The 19,237-nt window shown below is 37.8% G+C and overlaps 1 long non-coding RNA gene across 1 annotated transcript in view; it reads right to left on the bottom strand.

Annotated features, from left to right (window-relative positions):
- LOC105370733 (uncharacterized) overlaps positions 1–19,237 on the bottom strand; it is a 440,742-nt gene that overhangs the window by 405,584 nt on the left and 15,921 nt on the right. Inside the window, exons 6-8 of the long non-coding RNA XR_007064539.1 lie at positions 13,430–13,541; positions 12,167–12,263; positions 10,207–10,291 (exon numbers count right to left, since the gene is read on the bottom strand). This is a non-coding gene — a long non-coding RNA (uncharacterized LOC105370733). The remainder of the gene's footprint in view (positions 1–10,206; positions 10,292–12,166; positions 12,264–13,429; positions 13,542–19,237) is intronic.

The raw sequence follows: 19,237 nt of genomic DNA, 5'->3' as shown, positions 1-19,237 counted from the left end.
GAAAACTGAAGCGGCTCCTTTAGATATGAACCTGGTTCTTCTCCATTGCTAAGCTGTGAAATAAAGTCACTTTCTTTTTACCACCCTCTTGCTTGTTATTTAATATTGTAAGTGACAAGTGGCCAAACCTGTGTTTGGTAACAAATTTGGTGGCCCGTATGGGCAGCATTATGTGCTCTGAGCAACCCAAGCCTGTGAGCCTGGTTTTTCTACCAAGGCGGAGGGTTGCCTGTGAGCACCAGCAGCTGAAGGCTAGCAGACCCCATGGCAGGAATGTTAGGGAACTTCCAAGCAGCTGCTGAAAATCTTTCATTTCCTAGACCCTCCCTTTCACTTCCTTGCACAACTTCTGCAGCCATCAACACTTTGCTGGTACAAAGAATGTGACCTCTGAAGAAGCTGGCAGCCCATGCAACCAAGTGAGCTAGTAGAGTGCACCCCGCTTTCCTGTGTCTTCTGGGGTGTTGCTGGGGCTTTGCTGTTTCATCTGGTCCACTAATGGGACTATCATTTGAGTGTTTTACGGATTTGTATTGGTGGCACTACTGGACATTGCTCGATTTGGTCTCAGACACCCATGGAGCTGTTTTGAACAGAGGAGAGAAATTCAGGATTCTACTCAGCCCCTTAACTGGGGTTTGTTTGGAAGCTCACCATTTGTTTGTAAGTGTGAGTGTATGACCTTTGAGTGTGGGCCCTGATCTCTTCCTATCCTTTTCACTTCCAACTTCATCTTACTGACTATCTTGGAAGCCACCTACAGCCTTACTCATTTCAGTCAAAGGTACCCTTAGCTCTCTCCAGCTGTAAACAGTTTCCTTCCCCCATGATGGCAGAGGTGGGAGGGATTCGTCTCACACTGTGCATGTCTAGGGTAGCGGGGCTCTCCCTGATGGGATGTAAGCAAGAGTGGTGGGGGTACCAACCCTATACCATGCAGCGCTAGAAGGTTCACAAACCTCCTTTTCTTTCTTTTTCTTTCCCTCCTTTTAAAAGGCCTGGCAGGAACTTCATATTCTCATTCTCTTTGGGATTTCAGCTGGTTACTTATTAAGACCTACTTTTGTGAACATTTTAAACAGATAGGCAAATTCTAGCAAGAAAACTTTAGAGCTCAAATGGTTAACTGCAACTATTAAGTTAAGCAGAGTCATCAAAACCTCTCTTCCTTCCTCTGTTTTCTTTTCTGCCTGCTTCAAATTGGATGTTACTAAGCTGCCGGTGCTAAGACTCATTATTTATGGACTAACTAGAAAGTAAACACAAGAAACTTGTTTAAAACTAAAGGAAATAAAAGGGAAAAGATGCTTTTTTAAAAACAAAACTGCCATAAAGATTGCTTTACCCAAATTTTGGTTCACAGCTTTCATGGGATTATGTATTGCAGAAAACAAAATTTAGCCATGGAAACAGGTTTCAGTTTTGTCAGACAATAACGTGTATCCAGCTATCTTTATAAAATACTGAGTGTGTACTGTTATTTTATGGTTAGAATCCCAAGGTAAAAGCTATTAGAACTTTACTTCTGTGTGTATACATATTTAGATATGTTTGTGTGTATGTATGTGTATTATGTGTTATGTCTAGCCTGCTACCAAATTGACTTACAAGTAAATAAGTGCTCATAAATTAAGTCAGGATGCTTTTCAAGTTCACGTAAATTTAGTAATCCTTGAGAAATAAAATTGGTTTTAAGATTATTCGTGACATAATATTGGAAATATCTTCAAAATGATCAGCATATATTTTTATCTGAGTTTACTGAACAAATGATTTTGTATTTATCTCTGTCTATATCATCAGGTGTCAGGATATGACATAAAGGTTATAAGACCATAAACCCAGCCAAAAACAGAATCATTTTTGTTTGTGTGATTTTACAGATGAGTTAGACTAATTTAATATTACTAGTTCAGTGAAAACAGTTAAATCTTCTGTGCTATTGACAAAATGCCCATATATTGAACTTTAAGGTTCTTACTTAGGTAAAACACCTAATGTCCACAGACTTTAAAAATGGGTCATAGGGACATAAATAAATAATTACTACTTTGATGTAATATCCCAGTTTTCAAAAGTACTCTAGGTAAACTGGTAAAATGGAAAAGCTGAGTACACATAAATGAGATCAATGTTTCTAAGTGAAATTTTTGTATAATTTAAAATCTTAAAATCATTTTGGATGCTTACTAGATGTCTAGGTCATTTCCAATTAAGAAAGGGTTATTATATAGAGAAAACTGTTCTAAAAATTGTGAAATGGTTCTCATCTATACAATACTAATATCTGATAGTTCAGGATTTCTTTTTTCCTAGGTTTCTATCAAATGTGCCAAAGAAGAGGTGTCCTTATTGAGAAAAAGAATTATTTTGTCTAATTCCAAAGTTATATAAAAGTTTATTCAAATTACGGGTTTGAAAAGGTTATTTATGAAACAAGCTGGGAAGGAAGCAGTAAGTGGTGAACAGAGTTGTGAAGAAAGATACAGAAAGGAACATATACTTTTGGTAAGGAAGGTTATAAAGGAAAAAGAGTAATTTTCTATGAGAAAGAATCTTGTATGGGAAATTATTCTCCTAAAGTAAAATGACTGGTTATTTAAGCAACAGATTCTTATTACAAAGTTAATCTAGAAAAAGAAAATTGAAAAAAAATTAAAAAAGAAACAGGTACTACAGGACAAGTATACAGTCCAAGCATGTGACAGATGGTCTGTGTAAGTCATGATAAGGCTTGTGAAGGGGAATTTATAAAAGAAATTTTGTATGCAATTAAGTTAGCCATAATTAAAAAGGAATTAATAAGTCTTTCTAAAGAATGGTCCCCTATGTTAAATCAAGATTTTCTTAAGGTATCAATTTACTCTTAATAAAATTACAGTAAATTTTGATTTTCTGTTCTATAATCTACTTCTTTTGAAAACTTCTGAGATTCATATCTCAAATGTTCAATTGTTGTCTTGCTGCTATCAGCTTTCTCTCCCTTTGATGTGGCCTGGGATGATAACTCTATCCTTCAGCTTCTTGTCAGCTCCTATAACTTTTTTCCTTAGTTCTAAATGTTGTTGTGGCTGATGCTGAAATATTTTATTTTAGAGGTCTATAAAAGAAATGTTTTCCTCCAGGATAACCTGATTCTATACTCTTGGGTTTTTTTGTTGTTGTTGTTTTTGGTGTGTCTAAATTTTCACTGTAATCAGGAAACTTATCATGCAGCTACTAAGAGTCATGTATTCCCCAGTTCTACTCAAAATCTTGTACACACTCTTCCCATGTTTGATTAAATTCAAGCACTTTTTATCTTAAGTTGTACTTCCAGATTATGTAAACGGGCTTTCTTCTAAGGAGAGGCACTCACACTAAGAAAGGTTTTCCTTTGACTTTTTGGTAACTGGCTTAAGAAACAAGATTTTACATTTTATCAAGATAGTTCCTATGCTGCCTTTGTTAAGTGTTTAATGCTTTTCAGAAACCCCTGAAATTTGAGAGGAGTACGGTTTTTACACCCTTGTAACTTTTTCTATTGCCTTTAAATCACTTTGGTTAAATGAATAACTATTGTTTCACAAGGACCTGTGGTTTAGTTTTGATCAAGTATTTTAAGCTTTCTCACATCTTTCACAGACATCTCTCAAATTGAATCCTAAATTAAGTCTCTGACTTATTTCTGGGGCTTATCAAAGGTAAAAAACTTTAATCACTGTGAAGTGTATCACCACCTCCAACACCCTGAAAAAGTTCTTATCAGGTGCTATTAACTAATCTTTCTGGTGTTAAGGTACAAAGAATTGACTCCAGGATACATGTAGCTCCTCTAAAGAAGACACAGAATCCTGCCAGCATCTAACATATATAATTTATTCTGTGACTTAATATTAAATAATTTAAATGTTTATCTATCTATAGGCTTCCTTTCCTGTCACTCATTCTTTTTTTTTCAGACGGAGTCTCACTCTGCTGCCCAGGCTGGAGTGCAGTGGCATGATCTTGGCTCGCTGCAATCTCTGCCTCCCAGGTTCAAGCAATTCCCCTTCCTCAGCCTCCCGAGTAGCTGGGACTACAGGTGCGCACCACCACGCCCAGCTATTTTTTTGTATTTTAGTAGAGACGGGGTTTTACCATGTTGGCCAGGATGGTCTCGATCTCCTGACCTCGTGATCCACCCATCTCAGTCCTGTCACTCTTAGGAAAAGACAAGACTTATGGCATTTTTGCTTAAAATGTTGTTAATGGTGAATATTTTGTTTTATTAATATATCCAGAATTTAAAACTGTTCAATTCCTGCAGACCCAGGGACTATCATGGAAGGTATGAATGCATGAGATTGTAAGGGCCGGTTCTTGTGGAATAAAATTAATTCAGACCCCCAAATAAAGGATGGGCACATGGATGCCTAAACAGCTAAATAAAATACTTATGTTTTGTATAGCTATATTTCCTATAAGCCAAGATTACAACAGCTCAATGCATAAAATTCAGAGACAATTCAGTTATATAACCTTACCTTTTGACTTTTAGTTTTTGGCTCTTACATTGCTTAAAAGAGGTTTTAAGGATTAAAGACTGCCTGCCCATGTTCATTCCAGTCTGGCCTACAACATTTAATTGGATATAAGACCTTTGATTCTAAGTCCCTTGGACATAGTGGTCTCACCAAGGAACATGATGGACACAGGTCAGGTAGCACGCCGCTCTGGCATTGACATGAGGGAAAATAGAAGCGTGGCTACCAATACTGCCTCTGGCATACCTTGACAAAAAAGGAGAATATAAACTACAAAATAAAGTCCTAAGCCCCCACCAACTTAATGGAGACTCCCTACCCGCATGTTAGCCAAAGCAACCTGAAAAACTAATTCAGGCCATGACAACAAGAGGGGTGTTGAACATGCTTCACTATACCTTCCTCCCATTATGGGAATTTAGGCACAACTGATCAGCATTAACGTTACAATAAAAACTGTAAAACAGACTCTTTATAACAATAAAATACCAAATTATGAACAGGACTTAAAAACATGCCAGGCAAGCGTTAAGTCTCACATTCCTACACTTTAAAAAAGCAGACTATGTTTACAACTGCCACAAGGTTTCTGTGTTTCTCTAGCAGCCAAGCAAGCACTAGCCTCAAGATAAGCTGACTGACTGACCTCAGACACTGTTCCACCAGCCATAACTACAGATTGAAGTAGACAAGGGACCAATTTCGGTAATTTTCTCCTGATAAAAGATCACTCACCATAAACTAGTTTTGGCCGGTTTACAGTAAATGCACACTTGTATGCCTTTGTCCTCAGAAGAACTTTTGAAATATAGGGCATAATTATAATATATTGAAAAGTTAAGTCTCTGCCCCAAAATAAATGAGTTGTGTGTTCCATGGATATTTGTTAATACACATGGGTGAGGACCACCTTCATGAACATTTACAACTCCTCCTGTAGCCTGTTAAGTATGTATAGTTAACCAACTTGTCCTCATATCTCCACTGGAGCTCTGGGTACAACTGACATTTGGGGCTTTGCACTATAATTAAGACTAAATGCTGTGTATACTTCCTGGATAACTCCAGAAACATATCCTCAGCCCTAAAAGACATGCACAAGCAAACTAATCCTATCTCCAATCTCATGATGTCTTTAAATCATATGGCTTTAGATATGTTAACTGCAGCCCAGGGTGGCACTTGTGCATTCATTAAGGCTGACCATTTTACACACATACAGACACACACACACACACACACACCAGATTATTCTCACAATATAACCCAAGCTATACATGTAGATACCCATATTTCTACTATAGATGCCCTCTGTCAGGACTCTATGACATCATGATTTAGTTGGCTTCCTGATGCATAAAATACTTTTATAGATATTATTAATACTGTTAAATGCCCTCTTCAGCTGCAATGAATTTTATTGCTGTTGTACACTCTACATGGAGATGCAGGAAATCATTCTCAGAAATTCTTGGATCCTCACACCATACATGCACAGTAAGTTCCTGCTGAAAACTCAAGAATATTTCCAACTCCAGGTAAACAGATTCCATTCTAATGCTCTGTAACTATGCTCCCTTTCAGTAGGAAGCACACCAAATGTGTATGATGCTCCAATCGCATAAAAATAAAGTGGAATTTGACAGTGGGGTGTTGTAAACAAGTACTTCATTTTCCTTAAAAAATATTTACTTTTTCTCTTTTTCCTGTGTGTTCATGTCTTACTTAGCTCCTTAGAAATGAAAATTCAAACTTTTCCCTCCTTCCTTTCCACCAGCCAAACAACCAGCAAGCACTGTCAGCTTATCTAAGTACATGTTTGCTTACAAATTACCAAATCTTGAACGAAAATAAGCATCCACCAGAATTCTCCTCCACAGAGAGATTGTCTCAAGACATCAGTTAATCCACAACCTGACTCTGTCCCCAGTGATGCTGGGCAGGCTAACGAATGACCCATGACTAGAGATAAGTCATCCATCGAGTCATGCAGATCCTACACCTCCACACCCCTTCTGCGTGCCCTGCTTGCCAATTTTTCTTCTTAAAACTCTGTTTTCTGCCCAGAAAACTTATATGGTTCCTTTAGATATGAATCCAGCCCTTCCACATTGCTAAGCTCGGGAATAAAGTGACTTTCTTTTTTTTTTTTGGAGAAGGAGTCTCTCTCTCTCCCCAGTAGTTGGGATTACAGGCACACGCCACGGTGCTCGGCTAATTTTTGTATTTTTAGTAGAGACAGGGTTTCGCCATGTTGGCCAGGCTGGTCTTGAACTCCTGACCTCAGGTGATCATCCCGCCTCGGCCTCCCAAAGTGCTGGGATCACAGGTGTGAGCCAGCACGCCCGGCCAGTGACTTTCTTTTTACTACCCTTCTGTTACTTGATTTTGGAAGTGGCCATGGCCAAACCTGGGTTTCGTAACAAAATGGTGCCAGGCTGTCGTACGACAGATGAGGGGCACTTTTTCCTTCAAGCAGGATCTGTCGATTCTGTGTACAGCACCGAAGCCCACAGACCCTGACGGCTGCCACACCTAGCAGGGCAAGTGCCCATCTCTTATTACATATTCCCATAAAATACCAGTGTTTTTGCTCTGTTGATTGCTCATGTCTCACACATCTTGAACAAGTGTGTCCAACCCTCACATGTTTTTTGACTAAGACAACAAAAATTAAAATCTAAAAAGAGCATAAGCATGAAAGCCTTTTGAGCATATTAAGGTAGATGAAAATGACAATAAATAAAAAATTGAAATTCCCTTTTTACAAGTCAATGGCACAAAAGTATTTTCTGATTACAGCACTCAATGTACACATTTTCTAAGTGGTATTTTTTATATCTCTGAGAACTAAAACCAAATTTAATAATCACTCATCAAAAATAAGAAAAATTATTATCTAATAGACTAGGTGATCTGTACAAAGAAATGTCATGCACACATTTATGGAAGTGAGGTGGAAGGAATTACGGAGTCCAGCCATTGTCTAAATCTTTGTATAAGCGGAAGATAAAGCAACATCATGAAGTTCACACCTGCACAGTTAGGAAGTGGTTGCTCCTTGTATTCAGACGTGAAGTGTTACTGTACTGCTACACAAATCAATACCTTGTTAACCTTCCACACGTACAGCAAACTAAGCCATATAATAGAAAGTTTCACACATCTTTTTAAGCATAAGGATCTGAGCCAATTTTTTTTTTTTTTTTTGAGACAGAGTCTCGGTGTTGCCCAGGCTGGAGTGCAGTGGCGCGACCTCGGCTCACTGCAGGCTCCGCCCCCTGGGGTTCACACCATTCTCCTGCCTCAGCCTCCCCAGTAGCTGGGACTAGAGGCGCCCGCCAGCTCGCCCGGCTAATTTTTTGTATTTTTAGGAATCTGAGCCAATTTTGCCTTTTGGCTTCCAGAACAGTTTCTGTCCTTCTCCTTTTCAACCAGAGATATTTCAGAGAAAATTTGCACAAAAACATAAAACAGAGAATGTGTAACATCTATCTTTTCTAATAAAAGTGATATTCACATTCAATTTAGGAGAGAGAAATATGAGAAAAGATTAAAAAAATTAAAAGTGTTCATTGAAAAATAATTGTGAATGCATTTTTAAAACAGAGGACTAAAGACCTTAAACACACAACACAAAAATAAAAATTTGATTTTAGATGACGTTTATGACAACAAAAAAAGAAAAAAATTATACCCAAGAGTTAAACACATTTGCACAACAAATCATATCAAAACCAGGATAAATATTACAATGCAAGAAATAAAGTCTTAAGGTATCACTGGTCAGCCAGCAGAATCAGTATTGAATAAACTCAGCCTTATTCAAAAGAACTGAATTCCCCACCTCACCAACAGAAAGGACAGGGAGCTGCTGCCCTTGTGCATGGAGACCCCAAACAGTGTCTCTGAGCTCAGAGGCTCCCATGTGGCTGTGACTTTGGTGGGCATGGTCTGGAGAAGAAGCAACCTGTCACGGGGTCATCTACACCAGTGCAGGAGGTTACTATGGGTGCATCTCAAGGTTTTCAATACTACTGGCTGTTGTTGAAAGTATGTATACATAAACTGGGGAGTGGTGTTGGGGGATTGTCTCAGATTCACAAGCATATTAAGGGATTTAAGAGTCTACAGCAACGTTCTAAGTTCTAAACCAGCCGGGTGCGGTGGCTCACACCTGTAATCCCAGCACTTCAGGAGGCTGAGGTGGGTGGATTGCTTGAAATCGGGAATTCGAGATCAGCCTGGGCAACAAGGTGAAACCCCATCTCTACAAAAAATACAAAAATAAAAAAATTTAACTGGGCATGGAGTTGTGCACCTGTGATCCTAGCTACTTGGGAAAGTGAGGTGGGAGGATTGCTTGAGCCCAGAAGTCGAGGCTCCAGTGAGCCAAGATCTTGCCACTGCACTCCAGCCCAGGTGTAAGAGCGAGATCCTGTCTCAAAAAACAATTAAATTTTTTTTTTAAAAAAAGTTCTAAACCTACTGCTTTATTCAAGGTACAGCTGAAAGTATTGGTGTAGGTGCAAGACATGCAGGTTGTTACATTTTTTACTTCATTATAGAGAAGTACCGTGGCTAAAAGAAGAGGCTCTGGGCCAGGCACAGTGGCTTACACCTGTAATCTTAGCACCCTGGGAGACAAAGCAGGGAGGATTGCTTGTGGCTAAGAGTTCTACACTAGCATGGGAAACACAGGAAGACCTGGTGTCTACCAAAAAAAAAAAAATTAATTAACCAGGCATGGTGGCTTGTGCCTGTAGTCCTACCTATTCAGGATGCTGAGAGGGGAGGATCACTTGATCCCAGTAGTTTGAACACATAATCTGTTCTACGACTGAGCCACTATACCCTAGCTGGACAACCGGATGAAATCTTCTATCTCTCTTAAAAAAGAAAAAATATAAAAAAATCTCTGGAGAGAAAATTATTGTTCTAAATAGACTCTCTTAATAATAAGACAGTGTGGAATAGGTGCAGTGACTCACACTTGTAATCCCAGCATGCTGGGAGGCTGAGGCGGGTAGATCACCTGAGGTCAGGAGCTCGAGACCAGCCTAGCCAACATGGTGAAACTCCATCTGTACTAAAAATACAAAACAATTAGCCTGGTGTGGTGGCGCACACCTATAATCCATTACTCGGGAGGCTGATGCACAAGAATCGCTTGAACCCAGGAGGAGGAGGTTGCAGTGAGCCATGATTGCACCATAACACTCCAGCCTGGGCAACAGAGTGACTCTGTATCAAAAAAAAAAGATAATAATAATGATAATAATAAGACAGTGTAGAATTTGCACAAAGATAGAAGAAACAACCAGTAACTTAAAAAATAAAAACAGAGCTAGAATGCAGACATATACATATATAAAAATTGATTTATACATTGATGCATGGGGGAAAGATCAATTTTTATTAAAATGTTCCAGGAAATTGAATATCCACAGGGAATAACCAATATCTGACCTTTGACCTCACATACACACAAAATCAATTCTAGTTGGTTCATAGGCTTAAATATAAAAATAAAAGAGTATTAACAAAACAATTTAGGAAAATATCTTCATGACAGAGGGTAGGCTGAGCTGTCTAACTAGACCTGAAAATTATTTACCATGTAAGAGAAGACACATTCTACATAGTCAAAGTGAGCAAAGACTCTGGGGCAGACAGTATCATACTCAAGGTTCCTTTATACCTGTCCTGTAGAAAGTCAGCTCAGACTCCGAAATGGACCACAGAGGTGAAAATCATGCTTACTTCTTGAGATGTCAGTATGGATTCTATGAAATGATAACATATAAAGATTGTTGTATACTATCAAGCCTATTCTAACCCCTAAAAATTAATTTTCTAATAAATTGCGAGATATATCATTTGCGTCAATTGTAACATGTCATTATTTCATGCACCAGAATGGAAGAACAAAACCACTAACAAATGAAGAAACTAGTACTTTTATCACTTATAAATAAATCACATAGTAATAACATAAATACATTACAATTACTGGAAAAAATATATTCAATGTGCGTACATGTGGATATTTGTCTTGTGTCATTCCTACATGGGATGGAACATACAAGAAAAATACATTGACAAAGGTTTTCCTAAATTTTCTCTCATTGAGATGTAACTCTCCTGAATCACTCTTCAACTCATCTGCTCATGATTTTCCCCATATTATTATCACCTGTGCTAATCTGACACTTTGGTGATGCTGCACTTCTTGCGAGATTCCTATGGTGCTCCTGTGAGTTTATCTTTCCAACCGTCTGAAACCCCCTATGCAAGACATGATGTTGATGGTATGACCTGAAGATGTCAATGGAAGGTTTATAGACCAAGCTCATGTATATGTAAATGAGGACAATCACGTTATGGTCGCCGTCTCGTCAATAATGTTTTAACACTATCAAATTTAAGGTGCATCTGTGTTTCACAAATGTGAAAATGTGCCCCCTATGATGAATGGAATACACTGTCCTCTGTGACTGCCCATTTCTCAGTGTTAGATTATGGTGGCTCATCAACTGTATTCTTATCTGTTATTGAAGAAACATGCTTAAATCTTATCACATAAGTTTACCAAGTGTATTTACATTCTACATAGCTATTAGAGACATTACAGTTATTAGTGGAATTCTATAATTCTTCTGTTATGCATGGAAATGTAGTTCTATGAACTATGGTTTAAGAAATCCACTGAGGAAGAAGATAGAAATTATAAAGAGTTACTTGAAAAATTCACTGGAGTGATAGCTTTCTAAAGACCTAGAAAAAGCTGTAACTTGAAACTTCCCACTGCAATCTTAGGCATTTGACCAATGACCCTTGTGAGCTTCATTATGAACTCCATTCTTTCAGCTATATCATTTATGTAACTCTGTTTTCTTCATTCCCATTTGCTGTTTTAACCATATGGTTGGTGATCATAGAAATCACTTGGTAATTAGTCACTGCAGAAGTAGATGCATAATGGTCTTTATAAAATGTTTTAATCTGCCCCCTTGCTACTCTGCTCAACCCTAATTTGGGTACTTGCATTTGAGGATTGCTTTTGGTTTTCCCTCAGGAATACCCTGATTGAAGAAGCAGCACATAAAGTATGAGTTTCTGTACACCCAAAATTCAGTCAACCTCCTAAACTATAGGAGTTTCTTTATGTGTATGCAGAAACTCACATACAAAAACAAAAACTCACATAATTTAGGAGGTTGACTGAATTTTGCCCTACAGTTTTAAATTCCAGCAAGGCTAAATTAAATAAAGATAAAGTCATGCTCTCAAATATCTAAGACATTCTTTCATTGAACTGCAACTTCTAATCAGGTTAGAATGTGGAGATAAAGTGCTGGGTGTTTGCCTCATGATCTGGTCTAGAATTTGGTTTCTCTTAAATGGTATCTCTTTTAGAATTGTGGTGTCCAGGCCAGCCTCTAAGGAACTGCTGGTTTAAGATATTGTGGGAAATCACATCTTCCATGCAGTTAGAGTTTGTCTGGAGACTCATTGCTCAGCACTTTGTCAGCTGCTTTCTCCACTCACTAGCATCCAACTGCAAAAAATCTGTTGTGTAAAAGATTCATATCCAGGTCTCTGTAAGTAGGGACTGGCCTAAACCAATTTATTAGAAACATTTTTTGTACTCTGCTTACCTGCTACCTTGGTGGCTTTAGGGTTGGCAGTGGGCAACATAATTCCACAAAGTGAGTGTCAACAGAATGCACGGTCCCAAACAATTCCTGATGGAGTCTGTAGAATCAAAAGAACTAAATTAGAACATATTTTTCTGAAAGGTTTGAAGGTACAGTTGTCTTTTGATTACTTGAAAAAGAAATGCCTGTACCAGGAAAACATTATCCTGAATGCAGAAATATGATTTATGTTCCCTGTCACTGAAATTTCTTATTCTTGGCTTCTAATATCTGAGAGTCATATCTCCCAAAAATGCTTCAGTGGGATCCTGAATATACACTGCTAAATGATGTCCACACATGGGGCTTTTTGGGATATGTGAAGGAAACGCAGCTTTTTCTGAATAAGTGGTTGCTGACACTCCAACTGCTGAGTGGGTAACGGAGAAGGAGAGAAAGGATGACAGTCCCTGGAGCTTGATGGTGCCTTCTTGAAGCAGGTGAACTTGGGTTTGGAAAGGCAACTAGATAAAAAACTCTAGATTGCTTTTCTCTCCCTATGTGTCCATGCATCTCTGGAAGCCAAAGTTTTTTGCTTATGTCTTTGTTTTCTTTTAAAAAATATAATAATTTTAGAAAACAAATTTATTTTGAAATAATTGCAGATTTACAAAAAGATACACAGGTAGAACAGACAGTTCCATATACCCTTCAGCTAACTAGAATGTACTATTCTAACCATAGTATATTCATGAAAACTAAGAATTTCACTATTTCAAAACTATTAACTGATCTACAGACTTCCTTCATATTTTACCAGAATTTCTTTTTGTTTTATTTTGTTTTGTTTTTGAGACAGAGTCATGCTCTGTCATCCAGGCTGGAGTGCAGTGGCGCCATCTTGGCTCACTGCAAGCTCCGCCTCCTGGGTTCTGGGCCATTCTCCTGCCTCAGCCTCCTGAGTAGCTGGGACTACAGGCGCCCACCACCATACTCAGCTAAATTTTTCTATTTTTATTAGAGATGGGGTTTCACCATGTTAGCCAGGATGGTCTCGATCTCCTGAACTCGTTATTTGCCCGCCTCAGCCTCCCAAAGTGCTGGGATTACAGGCGTGAGCCACCACACCCAGCCTCAGAATTTCTAATAATGATATATTTATCTGTTCCAAGACCTAACCCAGAATACCACATTGCAATTACTGTCAGGTATATTACTTATGACTTGATGCATAACAAATTCCCACACATCTTAGTGGTTCAAAACCACACACATATTACTCACAGTTTCTCTAGGTCTTCAGTCCAGATGTAGGTGATGGCCCAGGCTAAGGCTCAGCTGGGGAAGGGTCTCCTTCCAAGCTCATGTAAGTGTTCTTAGGATTAACCTCTCTGACCTCATCAGGAAGAATTCATTAGTGAATTATTAGAATCACTTAAAAAATTAATACGAATTTATTAAAAATTATTCCAAAAAAGTGGAGAAGGCATGATTTCCCATTCTACACTGAGTTAGTTTACTCTGATACCACAGCTAGATAAAGACATTTCAAATATGGAAAACGAAGAACACTATACCTTATGAATACAGGGGCAAAAATCATCAAGGAAATATTAGCAAAACAAACCAGAAACATGTAAAAAGTATTACACATTATGTCAAGGGTATTTACCTCAGGAAAGCAAAATTTGGTTCAACATACAACAAGTGCTATGCACTATGTTGATATAATAAAGAACAAAAACCACATAATCATCTCAGAAGATGCATAGGCACTTGAGAATTCTCAAACTCCCTATGAGAAGGACATGCAGCAAATGAGGCAGATAAGGGAACTGTCTTCCTTTTAAAGGGGATCCATAAAAAACCAACCAACATATCATCATAAGTTATCTGAAAGGTTCACTAATTTCTCCAAGATTAGAAACAAGACAAGGATTTCCACTCTTGACACTTGTTTTTAACATTGTACTGGAGGATATAGACATGGCAATTAGTCTAGAAAAATAAATGTAAGGCTTCCAGTATGGAAAGGAAGTCAAACTATGTCTGTTGGCATATGACATGATCTTACGTATAAAATGTCCAAAGGGCTCTAATCAAATATGGTTAGAATTTAGAAATGAGTTCAACAAACTTCCAGTATATAAGGTCAACATATATAAAATCCTCTGAATTTCTATATGCTAGCAATTAACAATCTAAAACAAAAAATTCAGAATGTTCCATCTGAGATGACATCAAAAATAAGTTTATCAAGTTAAGTATAAGATATATACACAAAAACTATAGAAAACATTTTGAAAAAAATGGAAAAAAACCTTTGACTATTCATTGTTTATAAAGGTTAATGTTGTTAGCCTGGCAATATTTTCCAAATGGATCTATAGATTTAATGCAACCTCTATCAAAATCCCAGGTGACATTTCCTTTTTCTAAATTCACAAAGTTTATCTAAAATTCATATATAATGCAATAGACCCAGAGCAGCCTAAACAATTTTGAGAAAGAAGAAAAAAGGCTGGCATGGGAGATACATAATTCCTGCCTTCAAAACTCACTACAAAGTAATAATAATCAAGATTTATGGTACTAGTATAAGAATACAGATGTTGATCAATGTAATAGAATATAGTGTTCAAAAGTGAATACTTACATTTATAGTGAAACAATTTTATAATGTCACCAAATAAATTATATATGGATAAATATTTTTACTCAAATATTTCTGAAACAAGTGCATATTCCATGCAAGTCGAACTCCTGCCTCACACTGAAAATGTAATTGACTCAAAATGATCATATATCTCTATATAATAGCTACAAAGGTCCAAAATATAGAAAATACACAGGAATACATCTTCATGGTCTTAGGTTAAACACTCTTTTCTAAGATACGATGCTGAAAGCAAAAGGGAAGAAGAAAAAACAGATATATTAAACCTCATTAGAGGCCTATCAGATGGTGGAGGGTGGGCGGTGAGAGAGGATCAGAAAAAATAACTAATGGGTTCTAGGCTTAGTACATTGGTGATGAAATAATCTACATCAAACCACCATAACACAAGTTTACCTATGTAACAAATGTGCACTTGTACCCTGAAACTTAAAAGTTAAATTAAAAACCAAATATTTGCAAATTTTATAGGTGATAATGGTCTATTGTTAATCATATATATATGACAACATCTTAGAGCTCAAAAATAAAAAAGGCAAATATCTCAATCAAAAATGGAATTTATTCAAATACCCAATTCTCCAGAAAAGCTACAGTCATACCCAAATCACACGAAAAGACACTCAATGCCTTTTGCCATTATGAGATAGGAGACCGGCAAGTTGTTTTCTAGTCACAACCCTGCTGATCAAAACAAGATCTGGTCCAGACAGCATACAGTGAAGAAACTGGCAAAAAGAGACAAAGGGATCCCTGGTTGTCCTCATTGCTCACTGGCATGAGACATTCCCTCCAGCGCCATGACTGTTTATAAATTCCATGCCAACAACCTGGAATTTAACCACCTCTTTCCATGGCAACAACCCAGAAATTACCACTCCTGTCCTGGAAAGTTCTGAATAACCTGCCCATCAAATTTCATTGATCCACTCCTCAATTTACATGTAATTGAAAGTGGGTTTCCCTTAGTGTAAAGATAGTTGACAAGGGCCCATAGGTTACCAACAAACGCAACGCCTATGAGTTAGCCCTGCTCTTTAAGGAGCAGTACTGTTCAATAAAACATTTCTGTCTATCACCACTGTCTTGCCCTTAAACACTTTCCTAGGCAAAGCCAAGAACCCTGCCAGCTGAAGCCCCAAATTTGGGGCTCACCTGTCCTGCAACAATAGGGGAAGGGAAGTCTAAAAAAACATGATACATACTTCAAAAATCTAAAAGGTATCTTGCTATGTGACAAAATATAAGTTGGAAAAGGCAAAATACTGTGTAATTCCACCTATATGATTCTCTGGAAAAGGAGAAAAGGATAGTGATAGCAAAGAGCTCGGTGGTAACGAGGAGCTTGGGAGAGAGAAGGTGGGATGCGTGAAATACAGGAGGTTTCTTTGGGGCAGTGAAATTACTCTCTCTGATATTGTAATGGTGGATACATAATAATGTTTTCCGAATCCTGAAGAACTTTATAACACAAACAGTGTATCTAAATTATGCAAATTTAAAACCTTATTTAGTAGGTAGAGGGTTTCCAAGGAGGAATGCCCAAAAAAATAATATAACCATGTAATGAATGTATGGAATAACCTCACTAAAGAAAGTGGAGGAAAGCAATGGACCTAAGTAATTTGGGTAATCAGTGGATATTCTGAGGCTAAAAGCCAAAGTATTTATACCTATGTACTGTACTTTGCTTGGTAAAATTGTTTCCCATTGGGGTATAAGTTACCAGTTCTGAAACCACTCTGCATGGATGTTCAGGTAGTACGATTAAGTGAACAGCATCGACTTCTTCACAGGGAGAGTAAGAGACTACATACATCATTCATATGGTGCTGGATTAGATCATATGGTATCGGAAACATTAGTAGAAATTACACAATTATACAACTAGCCTGGAGTACAATTAAATACACAGTTAGCCTGGAGCACCTAGTAGTGGTTAAAGAAAAGACAATGCTAAACAACAAGAAAACCAACCAAGTCTGGAGCACCTACTAGTGGTTAAAGAAAAGAAAATGCTAACCAACAACAAAACCAACCAACCATACAACATTGAACCTTAATTATGTGGGTATTTCAAAATTATACCAGAGACAACTAAAAAACCTTCCAATAGCCAACCATGGAACAATTTGAACAATCAAATAAATTAGCATATGTAAAGTATAAAATAAATATCCATGTTTAGATGATGATATAAATAATTTATATAGAAATGAATAAATATGTAATAGTTAGAATAGACACATGTTTACGGTTGAGGGTTCAAATAAACTTGTAGACATTCTGCCAATAAGAAGGTAGATCATGAATCCCCACTTTTTTTTTTTTGAGATGGAGTCTGCAGTCTCGCTTTGTTGCCCAGGCTGCAGGGCAGTGGTGTGATCTCAGCTCACTGCAACTTCTGCCTCCCAGGTTCAAGTGATTCTCCTGCCTCAGCCTCCCGAGTAGCTGGGAGTACAGGCACGACCACTGTGCCTAGCTAATTTTTGTATTTTTAGTAGAGATGAGGTTTCGCCATGTTGCCCAGACTGGTCTCGAACTCCTGACCTCAGATGATCTGCCTGTCTCAGCCTCCAACAGTGCTGGGATTACAGGCATGAGCCATGGTGCTTGGCCCATGACCCCCACTTCTTGAATGTCTGTTGTGTTAGTGACTTTGTTCTGAAACATTCTATGGGGAAAGGGAAAAATAATAATAATTTCACAGTGTTTGATAATTTGATAAAAACCACCTCATCCAGGGGATCAAATTAACATTAACAGTGATAAAGCCTGTTGAGAGCCTATGCCCTTGGTATAATGTGAAGAGAATGGCACCTTTCCTCTGTCATCTTCCTCTCCTAAACCCACAAATCTAGTCTTATCATAAAAGAAACCTCAGAGAAATCCCACATTAGGAATGTCAATGTCATCAAAAACTAGGAAACTCTAAGAAACTGCAACAGTCAGAGAAGTCTAAGGAGACATGATATCTAACTGTGCTGAGGTATCCTGGATGAAATCCTGGAATAGAAATCAGACATTAAGTGAAAACTGAGAAAATCTGAATAAAGTATGAAGAGTAGTTAATGATACTGTTTAAAATTGGTTAATTGTGACAAATGTCCTAAATTAAGAAGTTAATAAAAAGAGCAACTGTAGTGGGATATATGGAAAGTCTATGTACTGTATTTAAAACAATTCTGTAAATCCTAAATGACTCTAAAATGTATAAAGTTTCTTTTTATTTAAAGTCACTGCTGATCTTATAAAATAGAACATGAGCAATATGTTGATGGCCATTCATGGATCTCCTTAGCTTCATCACCTTCCTTAATCACTGAAGGTTGCAATTACTGTGATTTATCCTCTAATTTGTGTTTGTTATATTTATCTCTATGTTTATATTTCTAATATCCATACTGTTTAGTTTTTCCTGTCTTCAAAATTAGATGACATGTGTTTAATGTATACATGTCCCTAGTTTAATCATGAGAAATCATGAGACAAATCCATATTGTGGGACATCTTACAAAATATCTGACCTGTACATTTCAACAGGGTCAAGGTCAAGAAAAAGAAGTGAAGACTATGAAACTTGCAGATTGGAGAAGACCTAATGTGTCAGTTAGACCCTGCAATGGTGCCCAGTGATCCCCAACTGCAAGAAATTCCTGTACTTTGTTGAGTTGCCTCCTCCATGTCTCACATGACCAACACATGTGAACTCAACTTTTTTTGAACTCAGAGCTCCCCTAGACTGTGGCAACCTTGGTGGGAATGGAGTGGACACAGGTCTGACAAGTGCCACAAGAGTGTCTGACAGTATAAACAAATATCCTGTGAGAAGGATGCTGGGTCAAATATTGTACACTTATGCTTTGGGGTATCCACCAGGATAAATAAGTATCCCATGAAAGGCACACTGTAAACATCCAGGATACAGTTTCCTGGAGTCCTGTTGGGCAGGGTGATAATTTATAGTCACTATCCCTAGAGAGACCTCAAGAGATTATTAGACATAACAAAAATACAAGGGACGTACAGGTGATTTTATAAATTATGGCTCAAAGATCCCATGGAGAAGGAAGATAGAAATGGTGAAGTGTTACTTGAAAGTTTGCAGCAGAGTGCAACTCTCTGAAGACAGAAAATCCTGTATCTTGAGACTTTTTGCCTTAATCTTAGAAATATAAGCAGAGATTATTCTAAGTTGCTTTCAAATCCGATTCTTCATCCAGATCAACTGCATATTTTTTTCTCCCTCCCCTTTTATCCTTCGTATCCCATGAACGATGGTCATGTGAATCTCACTGTAAGCAGGGACTGCAGACGCCTGTGCATTGCTGTTTTCATGAAATGCCTTGCTCTGACCACTTGTTACTCTTGTCAGCTCCACTTGTTGATACTTAGAAAATGAAAAAGGCTTTGGT

Source organism: Homo sapiens, chromosome 15 (genome assembly GCF_000001405.40).
Source record: "Homo sapiens chromosome 15, GRCh38.p14 Primary Assembly".
Lineage (NCBI taxonomy): Eukaryota > Metazoa > Chordata > Mammalia > Primates > Hominidae > Homo > Homo sapiens.
The sequence above is the reverse complement of the archived record's forward strand: the minus strand, read 5'-3'. Positions and strand labels throughout refer to the sequence as shown.